Raw genomic sequence first — 15,169 nt, forward strand, 5'->3', positions numbered from 1 at the left:
AAATTTCACTATTAATTTGCTAATTCCTTTGTAAATAATGTTTTTCTTGTCTCTATTCCTTTCAACATATCTTTGTAGTTGTTGAGCTGAAATTTCACTACATTGTCCCTAGTGTGGGTATTTTATTATCCTGCTTGAAAATTCTTGTTTTTCCTAATTCTGTATATCTGTGTTTTTTTTTACCACTTCTGGAGCATTTTCTCTCCCTTGCTTTTGATTCTTATATTCTGAACCTTCTTGTCAACTCTGCATGACTATTATCCTCATTTTTATTGTCAACTTCTATTCTCAGTGTTAAATATTCAATTATTTCCTTATTTTTTTTGTCTTCAGTTTGCTAATAACTCTTTAGTTCAATCTGTCCAAACTACCCATTTATTTATTTCCAGTGAATGTGTTTTTCAGTTCTAAAACTACTATTTTAAAAAATTGGTCTTTTTAAATCTGACTCATTATTTTTAATCTTGTAAAGTTTTTCCTTTAAATCTTTAATAAGTTTTTAGCATTTTATGGTCTCTATGTGATTTTTTGTTTGTTTTGAGACAGGGTCTTTCTCTGCCACCGAGGCTGGAGTGCAGTGGCACAATCTTGGCTAACTGCAATCTCCACCTCCTGGGCTCAAGAGATCCTCTTACCTCAGCCTCCCATGTAGATGGGACTACAGGTGCATGCCATCACGCCTGGCAGTTTTTATATTTTTTTGGTAGAGACAGTTTCACCATGTTGCACAGTCTGGTCTCGAACTCCCAGACTCAAGTTATCCACCCGCCTCAGCCTCACAAAGTGGTGGGATTACAGGCAAGAGTCACCATGCCTGGCCTCTATCTGCTATTTCTAATACAGTATTTTCAATCTTGGGAGTCTAATCTTACTGCTTGTTAGGCATTTTAAATCCTGTTTATGATGGATTATTTTTCCTTGCATAATTCATAATTTTGGATGGTGCAGTTTACAGGGGTAAATCCTGTGCCTTAGGTTAAGGTATTTTTATCTAGAGAGTTTTTGCATTTGTTTATTTCAGGCATTCTAGTAGTACCAGTGGAATGATATAATTTCTTATATTAATTTCTCAGCTTTGCAGTTTTTGGACTCATGGAAGTAAGCATAAGTTTGAAACTAAAACCAATATGAATACAGACCCATAATTGGAATTCTTAGTGAGTCTTATTTTTCTCCTAAGTTAAGACTGAGGCTGACCTATTTAATTGTCATCTCCCTCTACAGGTAAGTTGAGTTTCTCTACTTACTTGATTATCCTTTGAGATTAATGAAGTAATGCAGTATTTTTGCCTGTATTCTCTTTCTCTGGCTAAAGTTTCTGTGTCATGCTCCTTATTGGCTTCACTCCTCCTAGGTTCCCAAAATGTGTAACACTTTTCCTGTACCATCCCCACCCAAGGGCAACCACAGAAAGCATCAGCAGCTCAGCCTTGCTGGTTTGTTCTGGGGAATCATTTAGTTAGTCAAGACCTCAGTTCTGCCCTTAAGATCATTTAAAACAACATTGGAAAAAATATATATGCAATTATTAATAATTGATTATATTACTGTATAATACATAATTATACAAATATATTAGTAGTTATTAAACAAAAATATGTATTTTTACTTCATAATTACTCTTAAATTTTTAACATGCATAATGAGTTAATAAAATATAAGAGTGTTTAATGTTTCTACCTTTTTCCCCAAACAATATATTCCAAGTGTGTGAATCTTGACTAGGTGTTATATAAAGGCTGTTTTTTCGTGTAAGCTAGTCTGTCACATAGCTTGAATGGGAACAGAAGAGTAATTTATAAATAGTTATCTTCAGGCAAATAAAGTTAAGTAATGTGCCTAAGAATACATGCCAAGCAGAAATGAAAACCAGGTTTCCTGATTCCTATCTGGGGTTCTATTGAAAATAGCCTTAAGATGAGAAGTTAAAAGACTTTTAAAGTATATACTATATTTAGAAAAGATAAAAGAAATAAAAACTGTTCCCTTAAATTAGTGTCCAAACTGAAAACAAGGTGTGTGAATCTTGACTCATGTCATTTGATTTAAGGACTAGATCATGTGTCCTCTATTCAAATTCAGAGGTGTAAACAGTTCTATATTCAGAGATAAAAGGCAGTGTGAGTGCGAATATAGCCTCTTTGTGAAACAGAATTTAAGGAAGTGGGGGTGGATATTTGAAATATTCAAGAGATAATTTTCAGACAAATTAAAAGAGATTGTACCATTTTATAAAGGGAACAGTAAATATATCAAACAGCAAATGTTTATTAAAAACCTACCAAGTCAAAGGTACAAAGCACAGTACTCATGTTTATCTGACTTCTGAGCTGCCTCATGATATGTTTCTTTGCCTTTTTGGTTGAATACTTCCTGAAGTCTCATCAGTAAGCTGTTTCTCCAATAAAAACTCTTACATTACCTCTGGGTAGACAACTAACTACCTTAATCTAATTCCCAGCATGAGTTTTTATTACCTTTTACCCCAACAGCTGAACCTCTTGACATCTCACTTTCCATTTTGTAGTCCAGTGATCACAGAGTAATTTCATAGGGTAAAAGCTGTTCTCTCCCACAAGATATACAGAGGACTGGCTAACAAGGAGGCTCTGATTCCTTTGGGGATTCCTATGTTTTAATTATTATATACAGTAAGTCCTCATTTAACGTCACCAATAGGTTCTTGGAAGCCTTGACTAATGATCGTTAAAAGAGAACTCATTTCTCCATAGGCTAATTGATATAAACAAGAGAGTTAAGTTCCCACCGCATACGTCTGGTCACAAAAACATCACTAAACTTCTAAATAAAGACCAAAACACTTTTAATATTAAACACTGAAATAAATCTAAGCTTACATACACTTAAGAAAGATTAAAAACAAGTAAGATCATTCATTACCTAATTATTCCAGTCTGGGGTCGTGGGTGGCCAGAGCCTATTCCGTCAGTTTAGGGAGCAAGGTGGGAACTGTGGCTGGACAACACACCATCCCATCTCAGGGTGCACTCACACACACACCCACACTCACTCAGACAGGGACTCCGTAGACATGCCAATTCACCTGATGTGAACATCTCTGAGGCATGTGAGCAAACCAAAATACCCAGAGAAAACCCATGCAGACATGGGAGGAACATGCAGACTCCACATTCCTCAGCTGGGAATCAATTTTTTTTTTCGCGTCAATGTTATGACAAAATGTTCATGGACAAAACAGCATTATTTGAGGACCTGCCGTATTATTTTCCAGTGCTTTTTACATCCCACTGTATTTACAGTGCATTGTGTTTCCAAGCTGTAGCCATCATGGGTTCTAGTCCTTTTTCATTTACCATATTAAGATGAGCAGAAAGTGGTATGCTTAGAAATACAATAAATTATGGAGTGTTTATACTTATATTATTCTCAAAAAGTGTTCATAGCCAAACTTTATATGCCTGTTTGTATAATTATAGTATACTAGTGAAAGTTTTAGAAGTCAGTAAATTTAAAAATCTTGTTTTCCTGTGATTTACATCTACATAATGGTGTTATAGAAAGTCAAAAAACATGAAATCATTTTTCTTCATGGGACAGGTTTGATATATTTTTAGCAAAATAGAAAGTAAAAATAAACCACTCCCTTTCCTAAACGACTTAAGGATTGCATCTGAGAATCTATGGAGACTCTCTTAGGTATCAGCGACACATGGTTCCCTTATACACACTTCAGGTGGAACTATCATGTAAAATATTCTTACCTACCTTTTATTTCAAAAGTGAGGAACAGGAAAGACACAGCACAAGACTTCAACACACTCTGATATTTACTTTCTAAAATAACAGGAAAATAGCACCGTAATGCATAGCCTTTCTTTTCTTTTCTCTTTTTCCAAAAAGCTTTTTCTAAAGTGGGTTTATGTGTGGAAACCGTAGACAAAATATAGTGATAAATAATTTACTTTCCATTTAGCAATGGTGTGACTATTTTATTTTCTTATTTCTTTGTTGAGCATGAGGAAATGCGAGTTTTTTACTTACCTTTCCGTCTATCCATTCACAGTTCAATCATCCATCCCTCCGCCTATCTTCCCATTGATCCTCCAATCCTTTCTGTTGCTATATCTCATTCTATGTCATCATACAGGCTTATTATCTAGGCTGTCTTTCTTAATAACCCTCAATCCCACAGACAATATCCAGATTTTAGTGTGGATTTTTAATATGTTTTCTACAGAGAAATGCTCTTCAGTTTCCTATAAGTCACTGTAAACTTAATGTTGTCTTATAACCAATACTTTCAGCTTCCCTCACTTAAAAACATGTTCAATCTGTACTAAATGGAAGAATTTCTTGAGTTACTGTAGGTAAAATCTACTTTCATTTTACTTTGAACTCTAAAAAAATCAATTTACTTCCATGCATCCAATGATCAGCAAGATGTTCATCAACTTTCTAGGACTCATACAGATAACCTCCCCACAGGCAAGGCCTCTTCCTGTCATATTCTGATAAGGGTAGATTTCACGCCAGCATAAGCTGGACATTCTTCACATATCAGCTGGCTGAACAAAAACTGTCAAGGGTTTTACTACTGACACTGTCAGTAGGGAACTTGTCAAGCCTTTCTTCTACGGAAATGATATAGTAGAAATTCTGCTCACCTGAATATTGTGGGGGAATAGTTGTCAGGATTGGGAGGGTTACCTACAGCTAAGAGCAGTGCAATAATAAAATATAGACACTCTCCAATATTGATGAGATATATTTCTTCCTACTCTTTACAGGTGCTATCTCCAACTTAGGATATGTTCTGATGATATAATTCTACTGACACAAATAGCATACTAAATTGTGAATATTTTACTAAAGACCTTGTGAGTACTTTAATAAGATACATTTTATTATTTTGGAAATTAAATGTATTAACTCCGAGGATAAGAATTTTTCTGTCCCTTATGGTGTGTGTCACTTAGTAGTACAGAATATACCAATGAGTAAAAAAGTTATTAATGCTTCCTGCCTTTATGCTAAGGTAGTCAGTATCATTCCCCTGTGTAACACAATGCACCAAGTTAATAAAGGAAGTTTACATAAATTTCATATCACTTGCTTTCAGTATTTTTTTGTACTAATACACTTTATTTTTGAGTTAAAGTATTTTGTTTTGTGTTAGGGTCTTTTTCACACCTTGGTTATATGTGAAAACAAGTCATCTAGAGAACACATGGTGTGAAACTGCAAAGAGAACAGTGTAGATAGTTCTTTAAGTAAAACTGAGTTGTTCATAGTACAGGTTGTTCATGGTTACACAGTCATGGATTCTTGAAATGAGTGTCTTCTTATTAGCTGGGGGAGTTGTTTTGAGGGATTTCTCTCTTTTATAAGATAAGCTTTACATTCTTTCATATGAACATGACTGAACATCGAGTGTGAATAATCTTCAAGCCCACAGCCTAATTGTTCTCCATTCACACATATTTATAGACTTCGCATGTCACCCCTGGGATGCTGGTATACTGAGTATGTTTCCTATTGGGAAATGTTAAGTGCTCCCGGGGAGAAACTAACATAGTCTAAATTTGGTGGAATAAATGCTACATTTTTAGGGAGAATTAACTGTTTTTGCAAAGACTTTAAGAAGTTCGTTAGTATTCTTGGTATTTGATATGAAAGGACACACACTCCTAAATTATTCATGTTACATATTTACATGATAAATATTAATTTTAGGTGAATTAGTTACCTCCATATCTATTGACCTTTGCTTTGGCATTTGCTTTAGTCTAACAACTACATCTTAATAATGATATTCTTGCAATATTCCTTCTTTTTCTGTGACTGTTTTTGGTGTCTGCAGTGATTTAGCAGTGGTTGGGGGGAGCTCTAAAAGAAAATGCTTTAAAAAAAATACCCAGTTGCAATTCAGAATTCTGAAGGATCTTTGGAAAGCAATAACCTACAGGACATAATTGACATTCCAAAACTAAAATCTGATCTACCTCTAGCAATGAAATTATACTACCCTGGAAAGACTGCTATAATAAATCTACTTAAGAGTGTTAAAATGCAGCCATTAAAGTGGCCAAGAAAATATTAATGTCCTAACATTACATGTTTTATGTTACTTCCTTATAACCTCAAGATACATTAGTAGTAAAATGTATCCCTAGGCTAGACTCCTAAATGAGTTGACATGCTGTGTAAAGTTAGTGGATACAGAACAATTAAATTTTGAAAGTTGCAACTGCAAAACTTCAGTTTTTTTCTTCCATGAATTACTGGTCACTGGTGTCAGTCCTTTTTGGGAGGGGCAGAGAAGCCATCTCTTCTTTGGTTTTAAAAACATTCATTTCTCTTGGTTCTTTACCTTATTTTCTGATCCTTTTTGCTCATATTCCTTCCCAAAATATTCTCCTTTTTTGGTATTTCATCTGGTGGTATCAAATAGGGCCTTTATCCTTGTTCTTTTTCTACCAAGGTATTTTCTAGGAAATCCAATCCTTTCCTCTCATCTCCTTTCCTCCCCTCCCGTCTCTACAACCTGCCAAATACAACACGCCCATCTTTACTGGTGAGATTTACCCTTGGTTTTTGCTTTTCTTTAGCATTGTGCATTCATACACATTGTTCCCTTGCCTGAAATGAACTCCCTCTTGCACTCTTGCCATGCTTCCCTGCAAGTAGTGTCTCTGTCGTCATTGAGCTCAAGTGCCACTCCCTCCATAAAGGGCTCTATTTCTACTACTCCCTTACGCTCATTCTGAAACTTGGTTGTATGGCATGGCATATTGCATTTTAATTACTGGTTTGTCTACATGCTCTCCTGATGACTTTGAGGACTTCCATGACATGCAATCTGTATTGGTATTTCTATCCTCACTCTCTTAAACAAATTGTATATGTTAATATACGTTCAATGGGTCAGTGAAAGAAGTCCTGCTATTCCTCAGACAGAAGGAGGATAAAGACTGCTTACAGTACTGCTTAAAGATGTTCATATTTGTGTGTGAACTTAAGATGTACTAATTCAATATACACTTAATCAAATAATTATGATAATTTTAGAGTCATATTAATATCTAAAATATATAGTTTTAGCTTGGGCCATTTTGTATTCACTTATTCTTTTGTACACTTCCTATATCTGGTCCTGAAACAGATTTAATTAAAAAAAGATTTATCTGCCAAACAACTGAAGAGTTTTAAAAAATGCCTTTGGGTTAAAGTTTTCTTTTACTGTAGTTTCTATTCTGTACTTATTTAAATTGAAATTGACAATTTTATTCAATATCATAATTAACTTATTTTTAACCACATTTTATCCAAATAAGATTTCTTTTGACAAGCAGGTTTTACTTCTTATATAATTTTGGAATTTAGAATATATATTTGCATGATATGTGTATATTTACAGATAAATTTTCGTCTAGTTTTTACATTATTCCTGCTAAACTTTGATGAAGAGGTTGAGTCAAGAAGGCCTTTAAGTCAAAATTTTAAAGAAACTTGTCAGTAAACCAGAACTGACCAAAGATGGAATTGTGTTAAATATTTTCACAACCATAATGTGGATTACTGTTTACCATAGTGAATACCAACCACAATGTGAACAGAAATGCAGCCCTCATAACCTGGATGGCTGTGTATATATCCCTTCAGAGCAATCACATGCTCAGTCAGTCTTCATAAGTGAATCCTTGAGAAGAAAGCAAAGGTTACCTTCTTTGTTCTTGTGGGTACTTAATTGTGAGAGGAGGTTTTCGTTGGCCTGCACGCAGTACACCTCTCGGGTCTGGATGCCCCCTCCACAGAGGGCCGTCTGGTTGCCGCGCCTCTTGTCCTGCTGACTGAGCAAAGGGTCCACACGGCACTCAGTCCACTCTGTAGTTCTCCAGCCATACCTAAATAAAGACAACACCACCAGCAGCAACCATAATTATTGAATGACGTGTTTCTCTACTCCTGTCATACTTTGTTTTAACGAAAATTAGTCTCAAAATCATTTTCCTAGAGAATCCATCGTAGACTACATCTATGGTGCATATTTGGTTTCAACTCCTTTATGCTCTGCAGTGCTCCATTTAACGAGGGGTTAAATTTAGGGTGATCCTGTTTCAATTGCAATTACTGGAAGTTACTTATAAATATTTTATGAAAAGGGAGCACAATGCTGAAAACATGAAATTTTATGTTCAATTAAGCTGAACCCAGGCTTGCCCTTTCTTGTTGCCTATAAACAAAGGTGGATTGAATATGAAAATGGGAAACATTCTGAGTGATGATGAACCAAAACATTTGCTTTGCCTTTTACAAAATAAATGAAAACTGCACAGTGTAGCAAGATTATGCTTGTATATTAGGGTTAAAAATTATAAGACAATAAATCAGAGTTTTCTCTTTATTGTCAAGAATAAGATTTTTTTTTTTTTTTTGGTAGCACTGAGCATTCCTAATGAGTGCGGATGCATGATGCAAAGAGCTGGCACTTCTCATCAGTGGAGCACAGGAAAGAAGATCTATGATGCTCAATTAAAGCTCCAATCAAGATTATGATGTGAGAAAAATGTCAGGGGATTGTCAGTCCAACACGTGATTGAAGGAGATAGCTAGGGAAATATTTCTCGATGCCACCGAAGACAGGAAGTGATGGCATTTCTCCACCTCAAGGAAAATGGATGTTCTAAAAGCACAAAGAACATGACTCATGTAGCACTTTGTGTCACTTTAACGAAGATGCTTCCTTAGTAATCAGATGAACAGCCAACATAGGTGCAAATGGATGTGCAAATATTCATCTGAATCAGGCAGAAGGTTAAACGGCCCTCAGATGTCTAATCTAGATGCTTCACTCTGTCAGTGGTAAGGTTTTGTGACAGTAAAGATGAACTTCATGCCTGTTTTTAAATTTTATAAGTGGGGATTTGTTGCTTAACGAATTGTGGGACTGGGTCATGAAGAAACAACACCTGACATTAATTTATAAAGGAAGTGCAGCACTCAGGTCAATTATAGAAACACGAATAATTGATGCCTGGTTTGGGGATTGAAGGGGAAGGAAGCAAAACCAAATAGATCATTTGTTAAGGGAGCTGCAATAATTGTTCTAAATAAATTGAAGTTCTGATTTAGGTCACGCCAAAAAGTCCAATGAGAGGAATAGCCTGTCAATAATTTAGATTGGTTACACATTCTATGAAAAATGCTTCCCCCCAAAAAGGGCATGGAGAAAGATACTCAAGGATATATGTTTATTTTGTTAATTGTGTTTGAATATCTGAGAAGAAAAAGAATAAAGCACTTAGCTTGCAACAAAAATAGAGGAAACTCATAGGAGAGAAAATACAGGAAATCCTGGCAACTTCCTTGAGCCTATTATGTGGGGAGGAACCAGAACAATCAGTGGGATAGGCAGAGACATTGGGGAGGAAATTCTCTGTGGAGGTTTCAGTCACTTTTCACATTAGAACACAATGGATGAGTCCAAAGTGCTGCAGAATTATATATCTGGTATAAAACATTACTATTTTTTTTGTTGTTGTTATAGGAATAGTAGTAGTAGTAATTTGCCTCCCCACTGGTTCATAAAGATCTAGCTATATGCATGTTCTTTAAATGTTTGGAATAATCCAGAGATGCTCTCAATGAAGTTCACACATCTCTATTGAAAAACTAATATAAGTTGCTTTATAAATATCCTATATACAGATTAAGCTGAAATATTGCTATTACCAAAATAATTCACAATGATAACTTGGAAATTATATTTTAATACTGTCATACTGCCAAATGTTTCAGAATGAGTCTTATTTAATCTGAATTCAATGAATATTTATTGAACACATATTTTGTACCAGGTATTGTGATATATGCTAGCAATTAAACAAAAAGCAAACAAGCAAAAAACCCAACCCTTTTCCCCATATTAGTAAGCACAATCTTTGTCCTCATGGAACTTAAAGTATCATTATTTTGATGTAGTATTTTACTCTAGTGAATAGGATTTGTTATACAAAGTACTGAATTTTAATAGTTAACGATAATCTATATTTGGAAAGTTTATTTTACCTTGTGGAATGGAGGTTGACAAACTGTGGCCCAAGATCATATCAACCTGCCACCTTTTTTTTTATATAAATAAAATTGTATTGGAACACAGCCACGCTCAGTTGTTTACATATTACCTCTAGCTCCAACAGCAGTGTTGAGTCATTGCAATAGAGACACGTATGGCCTGCAAAGCTTAATGTTTTAACTATCTACCCCTTTACAGAAAAATTTTGGCAACTCCTATTATAGAAAATACATAAACATAGAATTGGTGCTAAAAATTTCATGGAGATTTAGTTTGTCAGGACACTTTTATTCTGTAAAAAAAGTTTTTTTTAAGGATACTGTTTGTAAAGATATTTTTTATGTGTAAAAATTACTGTTGCTTAGAGTACTGTTCAGTCAAAATCAAATAGCTGAGCAAATGTAGTTTCGGCAGACGCTATACCCTTCTTTATTTACTCACGTGGCACAGGGGACAACTCCATCTCCTTGAGACAAACAGGGTTCTTTTTCTTCAAATTCTGGACACTCCTTTTCACTGCCAATGGGAAACTGCCTGATGGTTCGTGTCCTTACACGAGTGCCTGCAGGGGACACCATGTCATGGCATGTTTTTGAGCAGGGGCTCCACTCTGACCACTCGGAAACCTGGCACTCTTTGGTGATCACACAGGACTGGAAGGTCATTGGAAGCTTCTCTTGCTGGCAAAAGCTGTAAAAGAGCATTGATATTCTCATTACAGACTCACAGGCAGTTATGAACTTTGTCTTCTACGCTCAAGAGTGAATCAGCTTGGGCATTTTTATTTCTACTTGGAGGTGTGATTCCAGTTTCATCGAAAATACATCAACATTTATGATGTGGAAAAGCAGTTAGACTCAAAGCTAACATTTGCATATTCTTCTGTTTTCTAAGAGTTGTTAAACCATTCATAGGAAATAGAAAATAAAGAGAATTAAGTAAAATTAGCTAAAGCTAAGTTTACCATACTGTTCATTTTACTCATTCCAGACTTGTTTTAACTTAGAAAATGAGAAACCAAGAACTGTTAACATATGCTAATTTCCATTCTGTTTAGGGAATCAAGTAAATATGCCTGCGTAAGTGTGATGGTTAATACTGAGTGTCAAATTGATTGGATTGAAGCATGCAAAGTATTGGTCCTGGGCATGTCTGTGAGGGTGTTGCCAAAGGAGATTAACATTTGAGTCACTGGCTGGGAAAGGCAGACCCACCCTTAATCTGAGTGGACACCATCTAATCAGCTGCCAATGCGGCTAGAATATAAAGCAATCAGAAAAACATGAAAAGAGTAGACTGGCCTAACCTCTCAACCTACATCTTTCTCCCGTGCTAGATGCTTCCTGCCCTCGAACATCAGACTCCAAGTTCTTCAGTTGTGGAACTCATACTGGCTCTCCTTGCTCCTCAGCTTGCAGATGGCCTATTGTGGGACCTTGTGATCATGTGAGATAATACTTAATAACTACACTTTATACATATATCTATCCTATCAGTTCTGTCCCTCTAGAGAACCCTGACTAAGACAGATTTTGGTACCAGGAGTGGTTCTACAGGAGCAGAATATTAAGGATGGAATTCTTTCATTGGTTTTGGGATTTCTGGAGTTGGCTGCTTAATATTAGACCCCAAAATGCTAAGGACTCTACTTCTAATAGTATGGAGAACACTCATAGTCCTTGGTGTGAACTGTTTAGGGAGTTATGCAAAATAAATGCATTTGACGCTCCTGATTCATTGCTTGTGAAGGCAAGGAGTTTAGAGACTCTATATATAACACCTTTGACCATATATGGAGAACCAAGAAACATAATGAAGCTAGTCCATTGCTCCTAAGTTCAATGGAAAAGTGATGAAAGAAAATGATAAACTCAGGGATTCTAACTCCTAGCTTCATAAGCAGATACTGAGCCTCAAATCTGCTAGATAAATTGTCCTGAGTGAAAGACTTATCTTCTGTTGAGAAGGAGCCGAAATTGTGGAAAAACAGACACAAGCTCTTATCATGTGAGTGGGTCATCTGCAAGGAAAGATGCATGCACAGCCTCACCAGGTGTCTACTGTTAAAGTGAGGGCATTGATTGGAAAAGAATGGGACCCTGCAACTTGGAATGCAGACGTGTGGGGGGACCCTGATGAAGCTGGGGACACTGAGTTTGTAAACTCTGATGAATCTTTTTTGCCAGAAGAAAAAGCTTCCCCATCCCCAGTAGTGACAACATCCACTCCCCAACCCATGCTGCCATCAGCCTTTCCACCTTTGTCTGAGGAGATAAACCCTGCACTGCCTGAGGCAACAGTGATGGCCTCCCCTGAGGCAGTTGCCAGGCAAGATAATGTTGATTCTCCTCAGGAGCCACCCCCAACACCCCTGTTTGCTTCTAGACCTACAACTAGACTAAAGTCCTGGCAGGCCCCTAGAGGTGGGGTTGACAGTGTGACCCATGAGGAGGTGTGCTACACTTGAGAACTGCTTGAATTCTCTAATTAATATAAACAGAAATCTGCAGAACAGGCATGGGAATGGATATTAAGAGTGTGGGGTAATGGTGGAAGGAAGATAGAGTCGGGTCAGGCTGAATTTATTGATTTGGGCCCACTAAGTAGGGATTCTGCATTTAATGTTCCAGCTTGGGGAGTTAAAAAAAGGTTCTAATGGTTTATTTGCTTGGTTAGCTAAAATATGGATAAAAGATGGCCCATTGTGAGCGAGCTGGAAATGCCTGATCTCCCCTGGTTTAATGTAGAGGAAGGGATCCAAAGGCTTAGGGAGATTGGGATGGTGAAGTGGATTAGTCACTTTATACCTACTCATCCCAGCTAGGAGGTCCAGAATACATACCCTTGACCAATGCCTTGCAAAATAGATTTGTGAGGGCAGCACCTGCATCTTTGAAAAGTCCAGTAATTGCTCTTCTCTGTATGTCAGATCTAACAGTGGAAACCAAAGTCACTCAACTACAAAACTTAAATACAATGAGAATAATTGGATCCTGAGGTGGCAAGGGCCAAGTGGCGGCACTCAACCATCAAAGGCAAGGCGGGCATAGCTATCGTAATGGACAGCAGAGGCAAAGCAGCAATCAGAATAGTCTGACTCATGTAGAGCTCTGGCATTGGTTAATTAATCATAGTGTTCCTAGAAGTGAAATTGATAGGAAGCCTACCGTATTCCTACTTAATTTATATAGGCAGAAAACTTCTAGGTCAAATGGACAAAAGACATTTGAATTATAAAAACAGAGAATCATGGCCCCTCAATCAATTTCCAGGCTTGAGCCAGTTTACAGACCCAGAACCTCTTGAATGAAAGGGAGGCTGGGTCCCCTTGGGGAAGAACACCACTACATTATGGACAATTTATGCTGTTAATCTTTCTTCCATCCTTCCCCAAGGAAACCTCTGGCCTTTTACCTGGGTAACTGTGCATTGGGAAAGGGAAATGATCAGACAATTTGGGGATTACTGGACACTGGCTCGGAGCTGACATTGATTCCAGGGGACCCAAAACATCACTGTGGTCCTCCAGTTAAAGTAGGTGCATATTGAGGTCAGGTAACTAATGGAGTTTTAGCTCAGGTCCAACTTACAGTGGGTCCAGTGGTTCCCGGGATTCATCCTGTGGTCGTTTCCCCAGGGCCAGAATGCATAATTGGCATAGACATACTTAGCAGCGGACAGAACCCCCACATTGGCTCCCTGACTGGTAGGGTGAGGGCTATTATGGTGGGAAAGGCCAAACGGAAGCCATTAGAGCTGCCTCTACCTAGAAAAATATTAAATCAAAAACAATATCGCATAGCTGGAGGGATTGAGGAGATTAGTGCCACCATCAAGGACCTGAAAGACGCAGGGGTGGTGATTCCTACCACATCCCTGTTCGACTCTCCCATTTGGCCTGTGCAGAAGACAGATGGATCTTGGAGAATGACAGTGGATTATCGTCAGATTAATCAAGTGGCAACTCCAATTGCAGCTGCTATACCAGATGTGGCTTCATTGCTTAAGCAAATTAACACATCTCCTGACACCTGGTATGCAGCCATTGACATGGCAAGTGCCTTTTCTCCATTCCTGTCCATAAGGCCCATCAGAAGCAATTTGCCTTCAGCTGGCAAGGCCAGCAGTATACCTTTACTGTCCTACCTCAGGGGTATATCAACTCTCCAGCTTTGTGTCATCATCTTATTCAGAAAGACCTTGATTGCTTTTCACTTCCACAAAGTATCACACTGGTCCATTACATTGATGACATTATGCTGATTAGATCCAGTGAGATCTAGTTCTAGAAGTAGCAAACACACTAGACTTATTGATGAGACATTTGCATGCTAGAGGATGGGAAATAAATCCGACTAAAATTCAGGGACCTTCTACCTCAGTAAAATTTCTAGGGGTCCAGTGGTGTGGGGCCTGTCAAGATATTCCTTCTAAGGTGAAGGATAAGTTGCTGCATTTGGCTCCTCCTACAACCAAGAAAGAGGCACAATGGCTAGTGGGCTTATTTGGATTTTGGAGGGAACACATTCCTCAACTGGTGTGTTAGTCTGGCCCATATACCGAGTGACCTGAAATACTGCCAGTTTTGAGTGGGGTCCAGAACAGGAGAAGGCTCTGCAATGGGTCCAGGCTGCTGTGCAAGCTGCTCTGCCACTTAGGCCATACGACCCCCCATATCCAATGGTGATTGAGGTGTCAGTGGCAGATAGGCATGCTGTTTGGAGCCTTTGGCAGGCCCCCATAGGTGAATCACATCAGAGGCCTCTAGGATTTTGGAACAAGGCCCTGCCATCTTCTGCAGATAACTACTCTCCTTTTGAGAGACAGCTCTTGGCCTGTTACTGGGCTTTGGTGGAAATTGAACGTTTGATTATACGTCATCAAGTCTCCATGTGACCTGAACTGCCTATCATGTACTGGGTGCTTTCTGACCCATCTAGCCATAAAGTGGATCATGCACAGCAGCATTCCATCATCAAATGGACGTGGTATAAATGTGATCAGGCTAGAACAGGTCCTGAAGGCACAAGTAAGCTACATGAGGAAGTGGCTCAAATGCCCATGGTCTCCACTCCTGCCACCCTGCCTTCTCTTCCCCAGCCTGTACCGATG

At 37.9% G+C, this 15,169-nt stretch overlaps 1 protein-coding gene and 1 long non-coding RNA gene across 7 annotated transcripts in view; one reads left to right on the plus strand and one right to left on the minus strand.

Moving 5' to 3' along the window:
* Window positions 1–15,169, minus strand: part of THSD7A (thrombospondin type 1 domain containing 7A) — a 461,834-nt gene that overhangs the window by 212,391 nt on the left and 234,274 nt on the right. For all 6 annotated transcript variants that reach the window (XM_006715662.2, XM_006715660.2, XM_006715659.2 and 3 more), the window contains 2 exons: window positions 10,499–10,747; window positions 7,705–7,886 (listed from right to left, as the gene is read on the minus strand). In XM_006715662.2, the coding sequence (XP_006715725.1) occupies window positions 7,705–7,886; window positions 10,499–10,747 (431 nt within the window). The remainder of the gene's footprint in view (window positions 1–7,704; window positions 7,887–10,498; window positions 10,748–15,169) is intronic.
* On the plus strand, window positions 1,138–8,801 carry LOC105375151 (uncharacterized). Its single transcript, XR_001744904.2, has 3 exons — window positions 1,138–1,224; window positions 4,770–4,859; window positions 8,423–8,801. It is a non-coding gene; the product is annotated as an uncharacterized LOC105375151 (long non-coding RNA).

This window comes from Homo sapiens, chromosome 7 (assembly GCF_000001405.40).
Source record: "Homo sapiens chromosome 7, GRCh38.p14 Primary Assembly".
In the NCBI taxonomy this organism is placed as follows: Eukaryota; Metazoa; Chordata; class Mammalia; order Primates; family Hominidae; genus Homo; species Homo sapiens.